At 46.5% G+C, this 17,605-nt stretch overlaps 1 protein-coding gene across 5 annotated transcripts in view; it reads right to left on the reverse strand.

The window, feature by feature from the left end:
* The window catches only part of SBSPON (somatomedin B and thrombospondin type 1 domain containing), a 28,630-nt gene extending 12,569 nt beyond the window's left edge, over positions 1–16,061 (reverse strand). For 3 of the 5 annotated variants that reach the window (XR_928762.3, NM_153225.4, XM_024447081.2), the window contains exons 1-2: positions 15,743–16,061; positions 3,908–4,102 (exon numbers count right to left, since the gene is read on the reverse strand). Coding sequence is in view for 4 of the 5 variants with exons in the window: in NM_153225.4 (NP_694957.3) it covers positions 3,908–4,102; positions 15,743–15,956 (409 nt within the window). In the remaining variant the exon portion in view is untranslated. Of the gene's footprint in view, positions 1–3,907; positions 4,103–8,343; positions 9,015–15,742 lie in introns of those variants that run through there. The other 2 variants (XM_047421408.1, XM_017013145.2) reach the window with 2 other exon arrangements.
* Positions 16,062–17,605: the final 1,544 nt, after the last annotated feature.

The following is a 17,605-nucleotide window of genomic DNA, read 5'->3' on the forward strand; positions in this document are numbered from 1 at the left end:
GTCAGTCTGGTCTCGAACTCCTGACCTCAGGTGATCCACTCACCTCGACCTCCCAAAGTGCTGGGATTACAGGCATGAGCCAGCACACCCGGCCTAATCTGTGTTGTTTTAAGCCACTAAATTTGGGGTAATCTGTAGCAGCAGCCGTAGAAAATGAATACACTCCTTCACGGGGTTGCTATGAAGGCTGAACCAATGATGCCTGTAAGATCTCTCTGCTATGCAAACATGAGGGATTCGTGTGCCGCGCCTCAAAGGCGCCTGATCTGCGAACAGGAAGTCTAGTGGGGGTGGAAGGCAGTAACAGGGACACAGGTGACCATGAAGCAGGATGAGAGCCTCCAGGTTGAGTGTGGGCTTCTTCTCCATGCTCCCACGCCAACCTATGTTTCCTTCTATCCCAGAGCTCACCACCGTGAGTTCTATTTAGCTGTGATATGTTTGTTAATCAAGTTTGGATCTCTAAAACCTAGCACAGTGCTGGCACACACAGGAGGTGCTCAGTGAGTGTTAAGTTAATGAAACACATAAGTGAATGCTTAGTGCGTGGAGCCAAACAGGGCCTGGGGCCCATGGAGAATCCACGAAATTGGATGTTTACGTGATTGCCTCTCATGTCCCTCTTGTTTTCCTCTAGTAAGCCATCATTTTTCAAAGATCATTCCACAGCACATGAATGATTTTAGTGGGACGCTCCATAGAAAAGGGGATCATATGATCAAATTAAGTGGGAAGACACTGCAAATCCTCTCTCTCTCTTATGGAATGAAAATGCAGATCCACATAATAAAGGCTCTGAAAAGTTCTTTGGTAGAGAAAACTGTCTGATTTACCCCATATTTTCCTACTAATCCCTTTTCTTGCACAACTATTCTAATAAAAGAGGATACTCTGGGAACTTCTGCCTTCAGGAAAGTGCTGATTAGGTGACCCAGCTATGACAGAGGGGCCTCTGTCACGCTTGGGCTACAGCAGTGGCTCTCAAACTCCAGTGAGCATCCGAAGCCCCTGGAAGCCTTGCTAGAATGCAGAGTGCTGGGCCCACATGCAGGGATTATGATCCCATGGGTCTGGGTGGGGCTGAGGAACCAGATCCTGATGCTGCTGATCCAGGACCACCCGTTAGGAATCATCAGACAGGGTTGCTGGAGGGGTCCTGTCTTCCCCAACTAGCTTGTGACAGGAGTAATCATCACCAAGACATCTCCAGCAGGAGGGGAATGCTGGGGACCAAAGTCAGGACTGCAAATGCCAGCCGCCCTACCTCGAGTAGAGATTTCTCCTCTCTTCCCAAGCTGACATCTTTTATTTTATGATAGTAGGGAAGGAGGCTGTTCAGTACAGATATGTTAAGACACAGTCTCTAACAACTTCCTGCATTGTCCTGGTGTAGAGACCCAGGGCTGAGAAGGTGAGTGCGATGGCCTGGTGCCCCACTGAAGAGCCCGATGTGCTGAAGGAACCCTCTAGCAGTCAGGCATGGCACAGGAGTAGGTGGGCTGCTTTTCCAGATAGGTTGGCGCTAGCTTTTAAGATCCACCAAAAACATCCATAATGTCCTACAGTGTCTTCCTCCCCGAGCAGTTTGTGTACTGTCTCTGCAAAGTGACTGAGCGTAATTTTGTTCTATGGCTGTGTCTGTGAGCAACCACGTCTGAAGCACTGAATGACCTCCCTGTGACCTTAATATGACCACCGTATCAATGGGGGAACAACACTCTGGCCCCTCCATTTGCCACTCCACTACCACAGTGATCTTCTCCCCGGCAAAGAACACCCCAATGGCTCTTAAGATAAAGCCCAGAATCCCAAATAGGGTGTTCTCTGTGCGCCCCACATGCCGACCTTCCTTTGCCAATCGCATGCAGGCCTTGTGCTCCCCCATGTTACATAAAAGAGCCAAAGATGCTTATTCCTCACCCTAGGCTGAGACCCTTTAGCTCACAAACATGCTGGCACAAAACTCAAATTTTTTATACATGCAACTGTTTTTAAATAGACAAACAGGCAGATTTTTAGCCATTAGGGCCTGCCTGCCTGCACACCTGTGAAACTATACCCAGCATCTGTTGGCCACTGATAGGCCTTGTGTTATCAGACCCCAAGATGCTGCTGCCCTTCTGAGGTCTCTGACCAAAAGACTCCCCACTGTGCTGCTGGATGACCTCACCTTGACATTTAAGGCCCCTTTCCAATCTCCCTCTCCCCCAGGAGTTGCTGTGCCCTCCTCCCCAGCCCACCATAAGCCTCTGAACAGTCTCATGCTGTGAGGACGTCCTCTCTCATGCAGCCCTGTCCAAGCACAGCCCAGTAAACTTCGCTGTGCTACTGCCTCTCATGGATATAGCTTTTCCCTTGATCAGCTCCCAAATCCCTCAAACCCTCTACACCTGGCCATCAGGTTTAACCACACTAGTCTGCCTGCCTGGGCAGCTCTACAGACCTCAGCCCCACATACCTCAGCCCCACATACCTCAGCCCCACACACCTCAGCCCCACATACCTCAGCTCCATCTCCAGGAAAGCCCCTCCTCCTCCTTCTCCCCCAAGACCGAGGGGAATCACCTGATTACACCCGCTGAGAGCTCCCTGCACCTCTCACTCGTTTGCTACCAGCTGCACCAATTACTGCAGCTGTAAATCCATTAATTCCCTGGATTATCTGATAATTGCACCCCTCTCACTAGGCTGTGATCTACCTGACAGCAGGCTCCACATCAACTTTTCTCCACATCAACCATCGTGACCCCAGCGCCAGCCCAGCACCTGGCATCAAGTAGACTCTCAATAAATATTTGTGTGTGAAAAAAAAGAAGAAACAAAATGGCTTGACAAGGATTGTGTTGACATGAAATTTCCACGTTCCTATGAGAAACATATGGTTTTTGCTATCCTGAGAAGTCAGTGTTTTGCCCTATTGGATTCAATGCAGATCAACACATCAGCTTTTTCATTTATTTCTCTGTGAGCCTTGTATGGTCTCTGGCTCATTAATGAGCCGATTCCTGGCCCCTCCATTGGCCACTCCAAAACCAGAGTGATCTTTTCAAATTACATTAGCCCCAATCCAGTCTTGAGAGGAGGGGCAGGTAAAACGAATCATTAAAAAATAATAATAAAAGGCCGGGCGCAGTGGCTCATGCCTGTAATCCCAGCACTTTGGGAGGCTGAGGCGGGTGGATCACAAGGTCAGGAGATCGAGACCATCCTGGCTAGCACAGTGAAACCCCGTCTCTACTAAAAAATACAAAAAATTAGCCGGGCGTGGTGGCAGGCGCCTGTAGTCCCAGCTACTCGGGAGGCTGAGGCAGAAGAATGGCGTGAACCCAGGAGGCAGAGCTTGCAGTGAGCCGAGATCATGCCACTGCCCTCCAGCCTGGGTGACAGAGCGAGACTCTGTCTCAAAAATAATAATAATAATAAAAGAATCACTTTATCATTGTTTAGAATTCTGTGATTTTTCCACGATTTTTCCACATGCGTGAGTGTGCATAATGAAACAGGAATTGCAGTGGAAGGTGAAATAGCGTTATACTTCCTGGACTCTTACTGTGCTGTGTGAAATGTCATCCTCCTATCTAAAGTCCTTTATCACCAGCTTGATTGAGTTCACTCAAAACCACAAGCATGCGGTTTATTTCATTACTGAGTCCGTGCACAATGAGAATGGGCCATCGGATTATAAAACACACCAAGGGAAGTGAGGGAAAGGGAGGCGTCTGCACAGCTGGCCATAATTCCTTTATTAAGCATTTCCTGAGCTTCCTATCTACTTTGGGCAGCCTGGCCCATACCACTCCCTGTGGTGCATGGAACCTTCCCTGCACAGCATATGGCCTTTTGTAGGATGAAGTGGTCAAAAAGTCATCACAGATAACAAAGGCAGCAACCATGAAAACATCAGTACCATAGGTGTGCCCGCAGTCCTGGCCCTGCGGGGTGGAGTACTCCAGGCAGCCAGCTCTCTCTTCCAGGGGTGGGCAGGGCGCCCCGCCGTTCTGAGGCTCCTGCTGCACCGAGCGCCTCCGCACACGGGTTGTAGGCTTGCACTGGTCTGCACAACCACTCCAGGGGCTCCATTCCCCCACGAAGCACGGGCGAGCTGAAAAACAGCACAATAGGACGCTCACCTGAGTAAATCCCGCCAGGCTGGCAGGCTGTTCCCGCCAACACAAACAGCTGAGTTTAGCTCCATGTAAACTTTGCCTGGCCCCAGGCCCTGTATCAGGAGACGCACACAAAGCCTCAGCAGGTCCCAGATGACACTGATTCCACCTGCCCACCCCGATGGTGAATTGATAACCTGGTACCCCTTAGAAGTAGCTGGATACCCTGGGATCCTAAATGTGGGTCTGATCCAGGGAAACACACCCAAGGAGATGAGACGGATGCTTTCAGGGGAATTTCTCATACTCCCTGGGCTGAGATCAGATATTTGCTTTTGTTTTTCCTTGATATTAATTTTATCTGCCCCTGCCCATAACATTTTTATTATAACAAGACATTCTCATCATAGACAACATAAACAACAAAAAAAAAAGTATAAAAAAGAAAATGTACTTCACCCACCAACAATCCCATCACCTACTCAGGTCAATTCTTCTCAGCAAATGTGTCTTCATAAGAAACAGGGCTTAGGGCCATGCACAGGGACCCCTATACTCTAAGCTTCTCCTGTTTACTCTATTTTCTTTCTCCATGGCTTGTAGACTCATGAACTATGAGGGCTGAAGTTTAGAGATGAGCCACCAGGGCCCAGAGAGATAAAGAGTATTCACGGTCACCCATGAAAAGGCAGTGTCAGGCCAAGAATCTGGGCCTGGAGTCTTGTTTGTGCTGTTGGTCTATGCTTTTCCACATGATTTGGTCGGTGTGGGGCTCAGCTGGTTTCTCAGCAAACAGCCGTGCACTGGGCTGCTCCCTGGAGTCCAGCAATACATACTGGGATTCCCCTGATGGACAACTAAAGCCATTCTCCTTCCTTGATTGTGAAGTCCACTTAACAAATCTGAAGATGTAATTTAAAAATGCAATTTCCTCACCATGACCATAAAATCAATATGGCGTCACGTTTAACTTTCTCATTGAAAGTTTTAATGTATCTCAGACTGTAATCAACTTTTAAATTGAATTATTTCAGGATTTAAAATTAAATATAAGGAAAGAACCAGAAGACAGAAGACATGCCCATGACCTAGATGCCAAACATTTTTTTCCCCTTGAAGTGTGATCCGCTTTCCTATCATCCTCACACTTTCTAATTCATAATGTTTCCCACAAGAATTAGCACTCTGTCTTCTTTGAAAGCTTGACTTGAACTTCTGCATTCACGGTTTTTGGAGGACATGTGATTTGCCAGTGCATAGCTACCCCTGACATAAAAAGGGTCCCATGCAACATAAACATGTCAGTAATTTTAAAATTTCCATACTAGTTTAAAACATGCTTTCATTCATCAATGAAATACCCACAGGTATCACATGTCAACTACCTAAAGAAGCCAGAATAAGCCACGTTACAGTTCATTCCCAATATCTGCCATGTATACATCTTTTGGAAAAACACTAACAGGTCACTTCCTGCTTTTGTTGGCTCTTGTTAGCCCTTCCCTTTTTATTTTCTTGATTTCATAATTTCATTGGCCCATCAAACCAAAAAGCATTTAAAGAGATCTCCTAGGCTGCGAGCTGATTGAGAAGGACTCCTTCTATCCTTCATTATTTCAATGCCTCTTTTCTTCCACCTTCAGCCTTGAGTCTAGCTAGTCCTGTTGTGAGGTGTTGGGCTTGAACAACACTTAATATTGCATAAAAAGAATGCACTTGTTTCAAAGATTAACATTTGGACATCACTATAAAATACAATTTTGCCATAGCATTAACTCAGAACTTAGTAATATGGCCTTGAATTAGACTTGGTCCTTATGGTAAAAGATGACACTGGGGAGGGTTTTCTGACTGAACTTAGCCTCCCAGGATTCCATCGTCATATGTGTCTCTTGTCTAGTATTTGTTTCTTGTATTCGGTTTGGTCTCACAGTTGAAGTCCTCAAAATTACAGAATCAATCATTGCATCAAGTTGCTCCTATTCGTTAAAGTTTGTCCTTAGCAAAACACTATATCCTGTTTTTCCAATCCATGATTTTAAAAGCTCCATAAAGAGAATCAGAAAGTTGTAGGGTCCAGAACAATGACATCTCAATAGCTTCATTATGAGACAAAATAAAAAACACTCACTCAGAATTATAGGAATAAAGAGGTGTTTCACAAAATATTTTGCGTCGGAAGATTAAATAAATTAAGAAGTATTTATTCCTATACTGCACCAAAGATTCTATTGTTGGTTAGCTTGTGAACTTTTGATTATTTGGATTGCAAGCCATCATAGATCACAAGAGATCTTGGTCATGGAGGTTAAGGGAAGTACGGAAACCTCTGACAGATTTATTTCAAGTCATTTATTACAGCTGCCTGACACAGATTTCCTTTTGGACGATGCCAATAGTATTCATGTCCCCTTTCCCACTAGCTTATCTAACTCACATCTATTCACAGCATATCAAAATATTCTTTTTACAATCTGACCTTCTCAATCTTCACTTGAGTTTCACCAGCTGTTAATGGAGCCGATAGACTGTGGCACCTAGGAGCGGCATGGTGGCCTTTGACTCCAAGTTTGTCACAGCTTCTCAGTTGCTTCAGAGTTAGGATTTGATGACATCATCCACCCCTTTTAGGAGAAGAAAGCCTAGATTTAATGGGTGCCAGGAAGCTCAGTAAGCTTGCTGTTTTCTTTTCTTCTTTGTTTAAACTCAAGCTAATATTCAGGTTGGGTCTCCCCAGAAGCAGCCTGTGAGACATGGATTTAAATGCAAGTAATTTATTTGTGAGGTGATCTCAAGCACCATACAGGAGTGGAGAACAGAGTCAGAGAGGGAGACAGAAGAGAGCACAGACAGAAAATAAAAAAAGCTAAAAGCTCTGCTGAAGGTCTGGGGGGCACCCCTGGCTTTCAGCTCATTGGAGAGTGAGACAATGGATGTAGATTCAGAGTGCAAGAAATTATCAAGTCCTTGCCCATTTACCAACTGGTCCCCCTTTCTCAAGACCTTTCCAGTTATCAGAGATTCCTACCACAGCCAAAGGAGAATAAGTTATATATCTCAGTAATGAATCACACACAAGAGTGCAGCACATTTTCACAGTCCTAATGGAGATAGCCAGTCACGTCCAAGTACAATTACTTTAAAAGATGTATCACTAATTTTTTAAAAGTATAAATGACTTAAACTCCCTCATTTCCTTTGGATTTCATCTGACATCTGAACTCCCTGCTGTGACCTACAAGGTTCTGTTCCTGTGTGACCTGGCATCTGCCTGACCTTCCACTTCCACCTGCACTTCCCCGCCCACCTCTGCTCCAAGTTCAGCCACATGGGCCTCTTTACCCCTTGAACACACCAAGCTCTTTCCCACCCTGGGACCGTTGTACACATTTTTACTCTGCTGGGAATATTCTCCCTACACTGGGCATGGCTGGGTCCCACTCACCCTTTAACTCCCAGACTAACTACTTCCTCTTCAGGGAGTCTTTTTCTGGCCAGCTTTTTCTAGTCTTCGCCTAGCCCCACTACACAGACACACACACACACACACACACACACACACACACACACACACACACACACTTATTTCCTCTCAGAGCTTGGTGTTCCTCACCTTGTAGCATTGCCATAATTCATAATTACTTATTCATTTGTTGTGTTTATTATTGATGCCCCTGAGGATCATGATAGTTTTCTATTTCATTCCTGGTGCTTGGCACATGGTAGGTGCTTAATAATATTCATTGAATGAATGAATGAAATGGCATTGGGCATGTTTCCCCTCCTCCCTAGATAATGTTCTACATTGAAACAGACTCTGATCTGCTCATATCATTAGTTAGAAGCCAAAATGCTGAAGGAGGCTCCAGCAAAGGAAGGAAGTGGGGTGGAAGGAGACGAGTGAATCAGAAGCCCCCACAGCCAAACCCATGGGAATTCTTAGCCTGGCCCAGAGTGTGGGCTCTCCTGGCAGCAATGGCCCCAAGGGTGTCCATCAGAAGGAGCATTGTTTTCTGTGCCTTAAGATCAGGTAGGTCCAAGCTTCTCCTGGCAGCTACAAGTCCTTTAGATCCATTCTGATCTATTTATATCTCCTGCCAGGACCACATTTTGAAAGTAACAAGCTTCTTTACTTTTATTATCTGTGGCACAAAATGGCATTTCCTTTCATTTGATCCAAATTTCCCTCACTCAAGAATTTCAGAATATGGTGAAAAAAAAAAAAATCCATGCTTACCTTTTCTATGCCACTCATGGTCTGACATGGTCTGTGCCACTCATGGTTTGGGGAGGTCTCCTTTCCTCCCAGCCAGACTCTCCAAGGTCATGTCTTCTGCTTTTGGACCCATCTTTCTAGGCACTTCTCATCTCGGAGTTACCACTGGACTTTCTCCAGGTCTGTTCGCAGCTCGAGGAGTTGTGCCAGCCAGAGCAAGACACCCTATTCTCAGCCTTTAGGTACCAAAGGGTCATTTAAAAATATATATATTTTTTCAAATGCTTTTCTAGGTGATGTCAAATACATGCACACAGAGACAACAAAATGAGCCGACAGCCAGAGCCATTCATTTTATAAAGAGAGTTTGGACTATTTTTCCTTCGAGGTGAGGCCTTGTTCTTGTTTTCATGTAGCAGTGTCTCCTTGGTTAATCACAGAGACTCAAGCACTCTCCTTTGTAATCTAGCCCTGCCTATTGGCTTTTTGCCATCTAAAAGTTTAAGGCCACCCACAAACAAGTGCTTTCTCCCTCACATCGTTAAGTTCAAATAGTCCTAATCATTCCTAAGGAAATGTTCTTACACCGTACCCACAGCAGTACCCATTTATGCATAGCTATTGTTTCTTCACATTCTGTGGAAGAAAAATAAAACAGCCCTATTATCCCCCAACACCCACACATGCACACCTCATAGTGACACAAATTTAAATATATATCATCTCCCTTTTCTTTTTTTTTTTGGAGACGGAGTCTTGCTCTGTCACCCACGCTGGAGTGCAATGGCGTGATCTCGACTCACTGCAACCTCCGCCTCCTGAGTTCAAGAGATTCTCATGCTTCAGCCTCCCGAGTAGCTGGGATTATAGGAGCGCACCTCCCTGCCTGGCTAATTTTTTGTATTTTTAGTAGAGATGGGGTTTTGCCATGTTGGTCAGGCTGGTCTCGAACTCCTGACTTCAGGTGATCCTTCCACCTTGGCCTCCCGAAGTGCTGGGATTACAGGCATGAGCCACCGTGCCCGGCCATCATCTTCCTTTCTTTTTCTCCATGTGTATTCCTCTTTCCGTAGAACCTTGTCAAAGCTTCTCTGAAAGCCAAATGAGACTACATTCCCCAAGTGCCTATTACTCCCTCAGAAAGCTCAAATAAAATGATCAAGACTTTTCTCCCTCTCTTGCAGAAACCACGTTATCTGGCCCCCAAAGGGGTTTTTTTTCCTTTTGAGACATTTACTGGCTAGTTCCTGAAGTACTAGCAAGATGACATGGGCTGTGTCATTTGATAAATAGAATTTTATATACTATGTAACCCAGGAGAAAAAAAGATATGAATAAAAAAGATAATAGTACTTTTTCTTTCTGGGTAACAGGTTTCCAGGTGAGTTGCCTTCTTGTTTTGTGCATTTCTGTATTTTCCAAATTTTCTGCAACAAACATATATTTTGTAGTTAAGGAAAGAAAATCTTTTATAGAGGAAATGTGGCTCTACCCTGGATGGCGGTGCCGTCTGAAGCCATGGATAACATCACCTGGTGGGGATGGGTGGGACGACTGCTCACATTCTTTTGACAAACATTATTAAGTAGCATCATGATAGCCATTGGAGTTTATGCAGACAGGCAAGACACACTCTGCCCTCGAGGAGCCCTGAGTAGATGGAGGGAGAAGCCTTGCTCACTCTGTTGGTGTTTATGTGGGGCCTACCCCGCAAAGCACACTGCTTCTCATAAGACCTCATTTCTCTGAGGCAGAAAAACATCATGTTTTGACGTATGGCCTCTGGATCCGGATGACCTGGGTTCAAATCTCGCTACACCAGTTATTAGTGGTGTGACTTTGGACAAGTTACCCAACCTGTCTGTGCCTTGCTTACCTCGTATGTAAAACGAGACCAAAATGAGGACTAACATCAGCGGGTTGAGGGATCCAAGTAAGTTAATAACTGTGAAGTGCTTGGGAGAGCGCCTGGTATGGAGGAAATGTGAAGTGTTAACAACTTGACCCTCCTTCACTGCTCACCCAGGGCCGCAGCCAAATTCTGCTAAGTCAAGTCCATTTGAATACTGGCTCCAGTCAGGCCCCGCTCGTTTTTTTTCTTCAAAGCCAAAGGCGATGTCTCTCAGACTGTTCTGGTTCCTGTAAAGCCTCAACTCTCTAAATCATCGTAGACTCTGGCATCTTTCCTTTGGGTGAGTTTGGAGCCCATATTTTCAAGCATGGTGCCTCTTTCCCTCCAGATATGATGTCATCAGACTTTGGCTAGTTTGTTTCCTAGACTCTCCATAAATCTAGGAGAAGACACCAGCCCATATAGGCTATTCAATGTTTGTCCTGCTTCACTTGGGTTAATTATTACCCTCTCCTTAAGCTGCCAATCAATGATCTAATGCAACTACTGTTCTATGATCTTAGAAAATGCAAATTCTAGGAACCCAGCTGGAGAATCAGAGATTGGGATGTTATCCACCTCATAAGCAAGTTTTCCAAGAAGTTCTTCCAGGGCAGGGAAACTTGGATCTGTTCCCCTACTCTACTTTTCCCCATCCCTGGTAAGGCACAGCCAGTGGAGAATTTTCCATCCCTTTCTTAGAGGAGGTGGGAAGGGAGCTGTGATGCTCCCTTGGTGTTGAAACTCATGCCATTGTCATAAGGAGATTTCCTGAGATCATTCCAGAACAGATGTCTTTGACAGTTTAGTAATTGTATAGATTCAATAACATTTTAGTTTTTACCTGAGAAAGTCTTTTTACTTAGAAAAAGAAATGCCAGTATTTCATCTCTTAGCCACATAATAACAATAATAATAATGCATTTATCAAGATGAAAAAATCAGAAGGAATAGAAGTAAAGCATGCTTAGTTACACTGACTCAGTTACATTTTCCATTCACATTGAATGTAATATCAGTCAAAAAAGGCTTTAGGCAGCAACAATAGGTAAAATAATGGGTAAGAAGGAAAAGAGGGCCAGGCACCCTGGCTCACACCTACAATCCCAGCATGTTGGGAGGCCAAGGCAGGCAGATTGCTTGAGCCTAGGAATTGGAGACCAGCTTGGGCAACATGGGGAAACTTCGTCTCCACAAAAAATAGCCAGGCTTGGCAGCACACGTCTGCAGTCCCAGCTACTCCGGGAGCTGAGGTGGGAAGATGGACTTGAACCTGTGAAGCAGAAGTGTGGAGGTTGCAATGAGCTGAGATCACGCCACTGCACTCCAGCCTAGGCAACAGAATCAGATCCCATCTCAAAAAGAAAAAAAAAGAGAGAAGAAGAGAGTCTAAGAGGCAGAATGGTTCTATGAGTATAGAGTAACTGGGGGTTCTAAGATGCTGAAACCTGATTTATCTAGGAATAAGTAATAGCCATAAATTGGCAAATATATGTGGCAATTGGCAGTCTGAAATCAGGCACTTCAGATCTCAGCTCTGCTCATTGGTGTTAGCTTGAGTAATGGAAACCCTTGGAAAGCCTTAGCTGTTCTGTCTGTAAAAATGCTAGTATAGGTCACCAGGTTCTTTTCCCAAATGCTTGAGGCAGTTGAGTCTCAGTACTCAGGACTTCCTGGATCTTAGAAAGGGAATACAGTCTATGTACCTTATTTGGGGTGTCCCCCTCTACTCAGCAGGGTCTGGAGCAGATCCTTGCAAAATATATTAATATTTTTGAGGCAAAATATAAACAAAGATGATCAATATCCTTCTATCAGTGCAAGTCAGGTGAGACTTTTGCCACCAAATGAGTTATGAAAAAGCTTTCAAATGTTAGCACTTTTTAGATTGGGATTGTCATATGGGTTTGTGGACCTGACCTGCCTTTCTTAACAATTGTTAGGATGGCTGGGCATGGTAAGCTCACACCTGTAATCCTAACACTTTGGGAGGCCAAGGCAGGTGGATCACTTGAGGTCAGGAGATTGAAACCAGCCTGGCCAACATGGTGAAAACTTGTTTCTACTTAAATTACAAAAAAATTAGCCGGGCATGGTGGCAGGTGCCTGTAATCCCAGCTACTCAGGAAGCTGAGGCAGGAGAATCGCTTGAACCTGGTAGGCGGGGGTTGCAATGAGCCAAGATCACGCCAGTGTACTCCAGCCTGGGTGATAGAGTGAATGAGACTCCGTCTCAAAAAAAAAAAAAAAATTGTTGGGAGGATTAAATGAGACAAAGTATTAAGTATCTGGCACATGGTGTGAGTTGAATAAAATGTATTTATGATTTAATATTAACGAATACAAATTATAGCAATATGTTGTCAGAAAATTATGATGTAAATATTTAATCAAATGAAATATTCTCCGCTGTCGACCAGTGCTAAGAGCCAACCAACAGTACATTTGCTACCTAAATGTCTACCACATGCCAGGTGCAGTGCTCTGGGCTTGCCAGGCATAGCCTCCTTCTGTCAACTCCACAGTCCCACACAGTGGTTTCATCTCCCCTGCCCCTACTTTTTTTTGAGACAGGGTCTTACTCTGTGGCCCAGGCTGAAGTGCAGTGGCATGGTCACAACCACAACTCACTGTAGTCTCTACCTCCTGGGCTCAGGTGATCCTCCCACCTCAGCCTTCTGGGTAGCTAGGACTACAAGGGCACCACCACACCCAGCTAATTTTTGTCTTTTTAGTAGAAATAGGGTTTCGCCATGTTGGCCAGGCTGGTCTCAAACTCCTGAGCTCAGGCAATCCATCTGCCTTGGCCTCCCACTGTGCTGGGATTATAGGCATGAGTCACTGCTGCCTGGCAGTATCATTCCGCTTTAATGAGGTACTTTAGGCCCCACGAGGGTGACTTCTCCAAAGTCACAAAGCCAAACAGCACCAGGGTAAAGGCTGAACCCAGGATTCTGACTTTAGAGGCAAAATTGAGGCATTCGGGTTACTTCTGGGATTAAAAAAAATCACAAATAAAAAACAAATATTTGAGACTTAGAATCTGTGAGAGGGAAGGCTGCATTCCAGGAGTTGCCCCGAACCAGCTTCCAGCTGCCAGGTCAGCTCTGAGCCCGGGAGGCAGGCGGTGACCGCCCTGCCCAGGAGCCACAGTCGGCATGGTTGTGGCATGGGTCCAGGGCTGAGCAGGCTGGGCCTCTCGGCTCCGGGCCTTCTGCTCTCACCCTCGGAGGGGCAGGCTCAGTCCCACCAAGTGGCCACCTTCCAATTGTCTTTGTTTTCCTCCTCCCTTCGCAAGAAACTTCAGGCACAGGGAATTTCTCAACACGGAGCTTTTCAGTCCCCCACCTGCTTCCTTCTAGGCCTGCAAGGTCCTCTGTTGACTCTGCCACAGGGTATTGAGGGCTTCAGAATATGCTCCTTTTAAAATTCAATCTGACACCATCTCCTTTTCCCCCACTCACAGCTCTTCTCTGGGGCACACACTTACAGTGATTTCTGAGAGCTTCACAAGACAGCAGGCCATGTCACCGCTTCCATACTTACCCACTAAATCCCCACTCCAAAACCATAGGCTCTTTGTCTCACTATTCTACCGCCTAGACTGAAAATAAGCAATTTCTTTTTGACCAAATAAAGACAGGGTTTTCCAATTCCTGGGAGCGCTGTCAGGTCTCACTAGAAAGCAAGTTCTTCTCAAGACATTCTCCTTGTCTCTCCTCATCCCTCTTACGGGCCTGAATCTCTCCAGATCTGGCTGCCTCCAGCATCTGTCCTGTTCACCATTTTGGCCTCAGGGCCTAGCACAGGGCCTGGCACAAGCAGGTGATGCCCACAGTAACTACTGGACTGTGACATTGGGCTTCCCTCCTACAGCCTGCCTCTCTCTCCTCCAGCAGGCCTCTTCCTCATTCTCCAGGCCCAGGCTCGCCCATTACTTCCTCAGGTGAGTCTTCCTTGAATTCCTTGGGTCTTTTAAGTGCTTCCTTCCAGGTCAGCTCCTGGATCAACTATTTCAGTGCTAAGTGTGTCGAACAGGAGCTTGCACAGGTTGCCCAGCTAGAGTAGAAAGTCCTAGAGAGCAGAGACTGCATCTTTGTCACTTCTCTATCCCTGCGCTTACCACAGATCAGGGGACATTAGCTGGGTCACAGGAATTCCATAATTACCTTTAAAATGTATGCAAGCCCCTCATGAGAGAGAGGCTTTGCTTGAGTTATGCAGGGAAATGAGGCCGACAGTTTAGGATGCTGTGAGGAGGGGCTGGAGTTACCTGGCTCAAGGGCACTGCATTTCCTAAATAGCTGACTCTTCCATCTTACTTTAGTAGTAAAATACTCTGAACTTAGAGCCAGAAAGGGAAAGAAGCTTATCAAAAAGCTTTATCAAAAATAATATCAATATTCACAGGTAAATCATTAGCTTTCAACCAGGGTCAAAAAATCTTAATGCTTTCAACTGTGTTCTTTCAGCATCGGGCCTGGCCACGGGTTGAAGCCCTCTTCAAACAGCACAGAGGCAGGAGGGTGCTCCCCGCCACTGGGTATCCGGTTGCCCAGGGAATGGCATAGCCCCAGAAAATGCTGAGGCTCCCACATGTCGGGATCCTTCAGCTCGAACCCTAATATCTGTGTGGCTTTGGGGATGATGTGATTAACAGGAGCAGGGCGACTTCCACTTCCATGGCTGGCTTCTCTCAGGTACACCTTGTTCCTCAAGGCTGTACTCATCATTTGTTCCTTTATCTTTTAATTCAATTAAACCAGCTTTTATTGAGCCCTTACGGGGACAAGGAACTGTGAGATACTGTGGGAAATTTAAAGTTGAAAAAGACTGACCCTAAAGGAAAACCAGCAAGATTACAACATAATAGGGACCTCGAGATAAAATCCTTGTCATGCTGTACAGAGAAAATTAAATTCCAAGAACATACTGTACACCTCCTAGGAGAAAGAGGCTGTTCTACATTTTGGGGTCCAGAGATGAGGACATCTTCAGATTTTTAAGACCTTGCTCTCCAGAAGAAAGTATTAATACCTTCCCAGAGCACGCCCTTGGCACAAAGTGGGAAGATTACACAATCCTGCCCTCATCACCCCTCACCAGCCCCAAAGATCCCCGAGGGTTGACAGAATGAAGGTGGTGGAGCCTGGCCCAGGGGCATGCCCCTTATCTGTCAGTGCCATCTCTGCCGGCCAGAGGTGGCCCTATCCAGCTGGAGTTTCTGAGTCGGAGATTTCGTCTCTCGGCTCCCTTCCATCCCGCTGGAGAACAGCGGGATCCAGCCCTTCCATCCGGGCTCTGGTCTGTCTTGGGGGTGGGGGGACACTTCGATGTCTAGCAGGGGACTGGGAGACCCTAGGATGAACGGAGCCGGGCGTACCTGGATGGCGGTGGTGGGGATGGGTGGGGATAAAGGGTCTGGAGGACACCTGGCTCAGGGACTGAGGTCCTTGGCACAGCGCCCTGCCCTGTGCCCGTTGGTTGCAGGCTAACGGCCGGCGCCCCACTCTCGGCCTGACCACCCACCTGGGCACGCCCTGTCGTAGTCGAAGCAGCAGTCCCCGGTGAAGCGACAGGCTTGGTCGCAGAAACACGTCCCGTAGACCCTGTCCAGCCTCCAGCCGCGGGCGAAGCAGGCGGGGTCCCGGCCGGGACAGCAGCGCCCGGCCTCGGCGCAGCCGGCCTGGGCCCCGGGCCACAGCCGCGACAGCGCGCACAGCGCCATCCACAGGGTCCTCATGGCCAGGGCTCCGGCGGCGCCTGCGACGCGACAGACCCCCGGGGCAAGCGCTCTGATCCTCGGCTGGCCGCGGCCCGGGAGCTGCCCGAGCGGCCGGCGAGGCACAGCCGGGCCCTGCCCTGCGCCCGGCCCCCGCCCTCCGCGCCGCCCCTCCCCAGCCCTGGCGGCGCGCCCGTCGAGGCCCGGGCGGGTGGCGGGGCTGCCCTGCCCAGGTGGGGAGGGCGCTGCAGTTCCCGGGACGGGCCCGCAATCGACGGTCCGGGCGCCACCCACTCCCCGCTGCCAGCTCGCGCCCCAGCTCCAGCCCGGGGACCTCCGGGGCGCGGGAGCGGAAAAGCAGGTGCTGGCGGGGCGGGGGTCGGGGTGGGGTGCCGGGGCGTAGCCAGGAGCCCGGCGGGGGAGGCCACATTTCCTGGCTCTAAACTGTACTTCTAACGCCTGGGGACACATTAACGAGCGGGCATTTTCACTCTAAAGCCATGAGACCAAGAGCACTCGATGGGCACCAAACGTGTCTCAGCAGCACTCTGCGCGGGCCACCCCGCCTTCGCCCGGGAAAGCTCATTCAAATACAAAGTGGACACCAGCTCGCCCACCCTCTCAGTCCCCGCAGGCCGCAGAGAAGCTAGGAGATAAGTCCAAAGAAGCATCCTTTCTTTCTGCTGCATTTATAATGGGACTCTTCTGCCCCAGGAAAATGCCACTTCGCTTCACGAGGAGGCAATTTGTGAATGGTGGGAAGAATAAATAAAATAACGGGGCTCTGTTTTCTGATAAACCAATTTCTCCCCCTAAAAACTCTGTGTACTGATATTTTAGAACTTTCACTTTAATAAAATGCTTGCCTAACTTTTAATATATATATTTTCTTCTCCCTTTCTCTCCAAATGTGTTACGTTTTCTGCACCACTCTTTTTGTTCACCCAAATTTATGCTGGAATTTTCATTTTATGTTCTTAAATCATTTACCCTAATATGGTTTTTATGTGAAACCAGGAATATAACGTTTTTTGCATCTGCGAACCTAAGAAATCAAATTAATTTCATAGACTTTCTTTCTTTCTCATATAAGGATTTACAGAGGAATTTTCTTTATTCATCAGAGAGAAAAGTTAACAAAAGTAGAAATGAAAAACTTGACTACAAAAGTAGTGAAACAATACGGTAATCAACCATACAAAACACATTGTGAAATGAAGAAGATTTAATACATTATAAGAATTTTATCTTATAAACTCTAACCACAAAGTTTGACCAGTGGAGACTGTAATCTTATTTCATCTTCCAAGAAAAACACACTCTAAAGTCAAAAAGAAGTTTTTTCTTTGTGAGCTTATACAAACAAATTCTCAACGTTGAGATTTTTTTTCCGTCTTTAGGTAAGTCTCTCTTACTTTTGTAGTCTAAAGAAATAACATATACATATATATTTATATATATGTGTGTGTGGGTGTGGGTGTGTATCTTTAGTTTTTGTAGCTGGAACTAAATAACTGCAGCAAATTATACCCTCTGCCTTTTCCCATGTCACAGATTTTATTAGCAGTTTTGTATTAACTCATTCATGTAATTTATACCCACACCTTCTCTAAGGCTGTCTGCTTTATAGAACGCCTTTAGGCAGATACTTTTTTTGTAATGCCATAAGA

This window comes from Homo sapiens, chromosome 8 (assembly GCF_000001405.40).
Source record: "Homo sapiens chromosome 8, GRCh38.p14 Primary Assembly".
Lineage (NCBI taxonomy): Eukaryota > Metazoa > Chordata > Mammalia > Primates > Hominidae > Homo > Homo sapiens.